Here is a 6,802-nt window from a genome sequence, read left to right as displayed (position 1 = left end):
GGGATTTTGATGTGCCCTACGGGAAGGCAAGTGGTTATGTAGCTCTAGTTGAAAATTAATGTTTGTCCTTTGAAGAGCCAGGTAGGTGTGAAGAATGTGTATTAATTCCCTGATACCTAATATGATGTCATGTAACACCCAGCACTTGACAAATTATGGATTTTTTTGAGGCTTTTTCCCTCACTCAAGCAAATACTGCTAATCCATGCCTTGTCATAATGAGGCCTCAGCTACGCTGAATCCCCTGAAATGCCGCAATATAGGCCATGTGCTGGGAGGTGGTCTTGTCTTTCAAAACCAGCATCTAAAGTGATTTAACTCCACCAGAATTTCTCAAAGTGTGGATCAAGGACAATTTGCATCAGCAATATGTGGGATGGGCCTGGCACAGTGGCTCACGCCTGTGATCCCGGCACTTTGGGAGGCAGAGGCGGGTGGATCACTTAAGGTCAAGAGTTCGAGACCAGCCTGGCCAACATGACAAAACCCTGTCTCTACTAAAAATACAAAAAAATTTACCTGGGCATGGTGGTGCATGCCTGTAATCCCAGCTACTCAGGAGGCTGAGGCAGGAGAATCATTTGAACCAAGGAGGCGGAGGTTGCAGTGAGCCGAGATTGTGCCACTGTACTCCAGCCTGGGTGACAGAGAGAGACTCAGTCTCAAAAAAAACCCCAAAAACCAAAAAACAAAATTACTTGGGACTTATGTTGAAAATGCAGATTCCTTTTCACCTCAGAATCTCTGATTGGGATCCAGAAATTGGGTTCCCCAGCCAATACTTTTGCAGAGTGGAGTTTAAGACCTTATCTTCTGTATTAACTACTCCTGTCTATCCTTATCTTGTCTTTAATCCCACAATAAGAAAGTCTTACTGGATGTAAGAACACAGACTCATAAAGGATGAATACATTTCCTTTCATAATGTTATGTTTCTCTAGTAACCCTTAACGTATTAGGAGTCAGCTGCAGTTTCTCTCTGCAAAGTTAGCATTAGGGATGCCCAAGTTCACAGATGATTCAACCAGTAGAATTCAAAAAACATAATTTAGCAAATGCATTTGACCTCCATCCACACTAAAACTTTCAAAGATTTTAATAAAGCAGGAAATTTGAAATATTGGGTTTTTTACTCCTTTAAAAACATTTCTACAAAGGCCATTTATTCCTCTTATGCTGACTATCAACAAAAGTGTACACTTTAGGCATTCAGATGAGACAGGAAAAATGTGAGGATTCTTGGTGTATGTGTGTGTGTTCTGCCTCCGTGGCTTCCGTTAGGAATATTGCATTACCTATAACTGGGCAGGAACCCAGTCTGCACTCCTCTGTCCAGGATAATTTTTTTTTTTTCTATACAAAAGTAGTATAGGAAATTGGTTTAGGGTACTTTGTAATTTCTGAGACTCTTTCCCCTGGAGATGAGAGATGTTGATCTGAGTGCCTTTCTGCTGGATGAATTGAAATGATGGGGGTAGAGAGAATTATTAAGCCGGAAAGTAATACAGAGCCTTTCCCAGTCTCCCTGGGGGTCAGTTCTATTTTTCTGCATTTGCTGGTGGAAGTAGGGTGGAGTGTGATTGGAAAGCCAAGCTGTACTCTGCAGTTTAGTCTGCAGTTAATGTGAAGACTAGCAGCTGACTTCTCTGCAACGTGGGGAGGCTAAGCTTCAGTTGTCAGAGCCGACTGGGCCCCACAAAGCCCTGATTTACTGCTAAGCTGAAGAGACACTATGCTCCTCCCTAATTAAAACCACGTGGTCTATTTCTGTCATGAAAGTGTATTTTACCGTCAAGTCACTCCCTGTTTCCCTCCTCAAAAACCAAAACCAAACCAAATCCAAAACAAAAACCCCTCAAAAACTCTAGAAATAGATATATCAGCATGTCATAATACTGTAACTTCCTTGCTAAAACGGGTGTTCAGGGAAGGCACTGTCAGTTCCTAATGAGTATGTTGTTAGCAAATGTATTTTTCTTTCTAAGAATAACTCAGAAGGGACTTTTATGACTTTTAACACGTGAGGTGAGAAAAGTCATGGATTTCTGCCCAAATCCCTTTCTGGGTGCATGATGGCATTGCAGTTGGTGATGCCTTCATGAAAGGGTGAATTTACGTGAATGACTTGGTCAGTAACAGAATGTCAGAATATCCCTTCCTGTCCCATAATACAGCCCAAACATACTGCCAGGGCTGATCCTCCTTGACTATTCCATTTCATTAACCTGCCCCTCTGTTCAAAAACTTATCATTACTATTCCTTACGATTTCATCTTCTCAAATTTATAACATTCTATAATCTAGCCACATTCTACAGTCAATGGTTATTTCCACTTTTTTCTTGGATACTTATCTTGGATACACACTGTTCTTTTTTTTTTTTTTTTGAGACAGTCTTCCTCTGTCACGTAGGCTGGAGTACAGTGGCGCAATCTCAGCTCACTGAAATCTCCACTTCCAGGCACAAGCGATTATCCTGCCTCAGCCTCCCGAGAAGCTGGGACTAAAGGCACGCACCACAATGCCCAGCTAATTTTTTTGTATTTTTAGTAGAGATGGGGTTTCACCCTGTTGGCCAGGTTGGTCTTGGATTCCTGACCTCAGATGATCTGCCTGCCTTGGCCTCCCAAAGTGCTGGAATTACAGGCATAAGCCAACGTGCCTGGCCCCTGTTTTACACACTATTCTGAGAGTCTTGCTCTGTCACCCAGGCTGGAATGTAGTGGCACAATCTTGGCTCACTGCAACCTCAGCCTCCCCAGTTCAAGCGATTCTCCTGCCTCAGCCTCTTGAGTAGCTGGGATTACAGGTATGTGCCACCACGCCCAGCTAATTTTTATATTTTTAGTAGAGACGGGGTTTCACCACGTTGGTCAGGCTGGTCTGGAACTCCTGACCTCGTGATCCGCCTGCTTGGGCCTCCCAAAGTGCTGGGATTACAGGCGTGAGCCACTGCGCCCAGCCGGCTTATTCTTATTGTCTCCATCAAACACATGATCAGACAGGATCAGAGTGGTTATGTAATGAGCTCAGGGTCACACAGAGGCCTGCTTCATCATTCTTGTGGGCCCCACACATCCTTGCCACTACTTCTGCAGACACAGGATTCCTCTTGCCTAAGATGCACTGTTTTTAATCTTTATTTCCCTAAATCTTATACAACCTTCTAGACCTACCTCAATTCCTACCTCCTTCAAGAAGGCTTTCCTCATAATTCCTGTTCTCATTAACCTCCTCCCTCTCTTCAGAATTCCCCCAGAAACTTATAACTGTTTTCATACCATATGTGTTTTGTCTTCTTCGACCGGTGCTTCCCAAAGGGTTGATCTTTTGCACCTCCCAAAGGTTCTAGCACTGTCCTGACAGCATAGTAGATGTTCAGTTAAGGCTTTCTTACTTGTAAACCCTTCCAAATCAAACATCTAACTGAATGCCAGAAATCTCTTGAGAAAACAGATGCTTTCATGAACTCTGTGCCATGTACAAGGGATATCAACTCACTCCGAATAGACCTTGCGACCCACTTGGATGAGCTGACAGTTTTTATGCATTGATCTCCAGGGAAGTCACCAAAGGATTTGCACTGCACTTTATAACAGCAATCAGTTTAGGCATTTAAAATAATTTTTTGAGATGAATTTCATTAGAAATCAAAAGTCATCCTATGTATATTATTTTAAGGATAATTGGAGTCTTGTTTCTTATAGAGAATACTGAGGTCTCTGGTCAACATTGATTTTTGCGCAGTAGTAACTAACACCTCACTAGGTTTGCCGCATGAAAGATATGTAACGGTTATAAATAAAATACTCCAATGGATAATGTATCTTGCCTTTCTGTAAATTACCATCAATTCATGGAATCCTCATTTGATACTTCTGGGACCAGCAAAAATTGGGAGCAGGAAAAATGTCACTTGGCAAAACTGAATTTTCCTTTTGTGAAATGTGAATATAGGAAATCAGCGATATGCATTAAACACTGCAAACTGTGTGGCTGCATTAAGCATGATAAAGCATTATAAGAGGATCACTAGGTAAGGGTTTTACACAAGAATGGGAAGAGAGAGTGAATGAGTCAAGGAGCTTACCATGTACAAATTAAATCACTTTGATAAAAGGGACAGAAGTATCGAGTTCTCAGGGTTTCAAGAAGCAGAGTAAAGAAAGATGAGCCTTCAGTACACTTCGACATCAATCAAGCATTATTGAGGCTAAGAAAACATCTCACCCTACTCAAATTCTGTATAGAGCAGTTCTCAAACCTGGCTGTACCCTAGAATGGCCTAGAGAGATTTAAAAAGTTGTAAAACCACACCACCACCACCACTGAAGTCATTTTCAGGTAGGCTGAACTGGAATGTCTGAGAGTGGAACTTGGAGATCTGGAGTTTTAAAACTTTTTCTTGAGATTCTGCTACATGGTAAGTGTTGAAAGCCTCTTTTGTATAATTATCAGAATTCAGATGCCTTAGGAGGTTGATGCTTAAGGCTTCTTTCCTGCTAACTTCTGACATGTGGTATCACAATATAGCTTTGAGGATTTAGGATTAAGCCCAACTCTACTGGAAAAGCTCACTTAGCTTTTGGGTGTGAAGGAGCCCTCTATAGCCAAAATCTCAAAAGGGGTTTCATGTTAGTTGGTTCTTGGAATATTCAATTCAAAGTAATTTTTGAAGGCAGTGAGAGTGTAGTATACCTCAAAAGAGATCTAGTTAGGGAGATTGGAGTTGACAACCAGTGCCAGTGGAATAAGGGACCGGCGTTAATGTTAATATATGATTTAAGTTAAAAAAGGCTTATTGGAAGAGGTCAGGTTCAGGCCCTGCATTTCTGTTTGTCTTTCTGTATTCTGTAAGCTTATTGAGAGCAGAGATAATGTGTAGTTTGTCTTAAAATCTCGACAATGACCAACACAGAACAGGCAGTAGATAAATGTTTGGCGAAGTGATTCAGGCCCTGAGAAAAGTTGGAGGCTAAATCCTGGATTTCAGACCTCTTTGATTAGACCAGTCAGATAGAGCACATGTTTTTACCATGGTCAAGGGGAATTTGACAATTCCCAAGACAACAGACACCTGTTATAATGCAATGTATGCTTTCATAGACTAGGAGCTATTGTGGTTATGAGTTTATGTGTAGTAAATGCAAGATGTCCCTATCGTCAGACTGTAGAAAAGTTCTTGTTCACTAGCTCAGTGACTAAATGTTTTGATTGTACATTCCTATTATGTATTAAAAAGATGAATAGAGAGAAAAAAATTATGCTAGAGAAACAAAATTTTAGCTTCCTTAATTTATTTGGATCATATGAAATCTTCCAAATTGTCCAGCCTAGGCAAAATGTAGAATTTTTTTTTTAGATCATTTCTCAATTCTGTGTGCTCTTAACACCATAATTCTATTCCCAAGTATGTTTTTAACTTTTGGGGCCATTACCTTCACACCTATACAATGTCAGAGGGTTAAGGTGATCACTATTGCTTCTCTTAGCTCTACAGCTTACCTATGGCTCTGTAATCTGACTTGTGACTTCTCTACTAGAGAAGTAATTTTACTATTTAGGAGTAGTTTTGACCAAAGGAAGGCCCCTAACATTCCTATCCTAAATGTCCTTGTTATCTTCCACTAGCCTGCTTGAAATTCAATATAACTAGCAACTTCAAGCTATTTATGATATGGGTTTGGGCAATAATCCTAAAAAACAAAAATCCTAAACTCTATAATCCTGAATGTTGAAATCCCCAAAGATCAAAATCCCTAAAGCCTAAAACCCTGAAAATCACAATCCCAAAAGATCAAAATCCTGAAAACATAATTCTAAAAAAAATTAAAAAAAATTTTTAAAGATCTTGTTTACATTTTTAAAAGAGGATTTATTGAAAAACGTAGAAAAGCATGACAGGACACTTCAAAGGCCACTTTCCACAATAAAATAGGCAATAATAACACATAGTTTTATAAGTAGATAACTCAGGCATACTAATGACAGTCACAGTTATGGGCAGATGAACTCTATTAATAGTGAAATAGCTTATATAATTGTGGTCTTCTGAAATATCATGATGTACAACCCAAGTCTTTTGATGAGATTGATTGAAAACCTTGATGGGTTACCACCGCATATGCAGTTGCTCAAAGAACTGAGATTTTGGAGAAGTTTTACCTTTCACAAATGCAGATGTACAAAAAAGAAACCTCTTCATGTATTGAGGAAGTTTCGATATTTTTAAATACATGCACAAGGCTTACATACCAAGTCAAAGTTGGATAATGCACATTCATGGAGTCAAATCTGCAAAATAAAAATGCATAAAAAGAATTAGATCTCTCTAAAAATTTTTACACAATTTATTTGGAAATGATGTGAAGATGAAACACCTAGCACAGCAAATTGTAAAAAGTAATGCTGATAATTTAAAACAGTGGGGAAAAGAGCTAAAAACAAACAAACCCCAAAATAGACAAACAGAAAAACTAAAAAGAAAAGTTGACATGTGAAAAAGTATATTACAGGGATAGATTGTGGGTAATTGCATGGAGATAGCACAGAAGAGCTGGTCAACTTTCACCATCATTAACCACATTTTGAAGTCTTGCATCACAATGAATAGCTGCTTTTTGTTTTTTAGGACATGGCTTTTCTCAAAATATATTCACATTCATTTTCTAGGTAGCACTGCTCTTTTTGAAGTTATTCTATGATTCAGTATACCTTGACATGAACATTTCCTGTTAAATTTTTCCATCTTCTGTGCCATATTTCTATGTTGTTTTGGGTACACAGGACTCCATTCTGCATG

At 39.4% G+C, this 6,802-nt stretch overlaps 1 annotated feature.

Annotated features, from left to right (window-relative positions):
* Positions 2,323 to 2,823: an enhancer, noted in NCBI's record as "H3K27ac hESC enhancer chr2:225124367-225124867 (GRCh37/hg19 assembly coordinates)". NCBI's record gives its function as "activates a minimal SCP1, AML or CMV promoter by ChIP-STARR-seq in primed H9 embryonic stem cells {active_cell/tissue: H9 hESC(primed)}" and the evidence as "EXISTENCE:reporter gene assay evidence [ECO:0000049][PMID:30033119]".

This window comes from Homo sapiens, chromosome 2, assembly GCF_000001405.40.
Source record: "Homo sapiens chromosome 2, GRCh38.p14 Primary Assembly".
NCBI lineage: Eukaryota > Metazoa > Chordata > Mammalia > Primates > Hominidae > Homo > Homo sapiens.
Note: the sequence above shows the minus strand (reverse complement) of the source record. Positions and strands in the feature narration are given on the sequence as shown.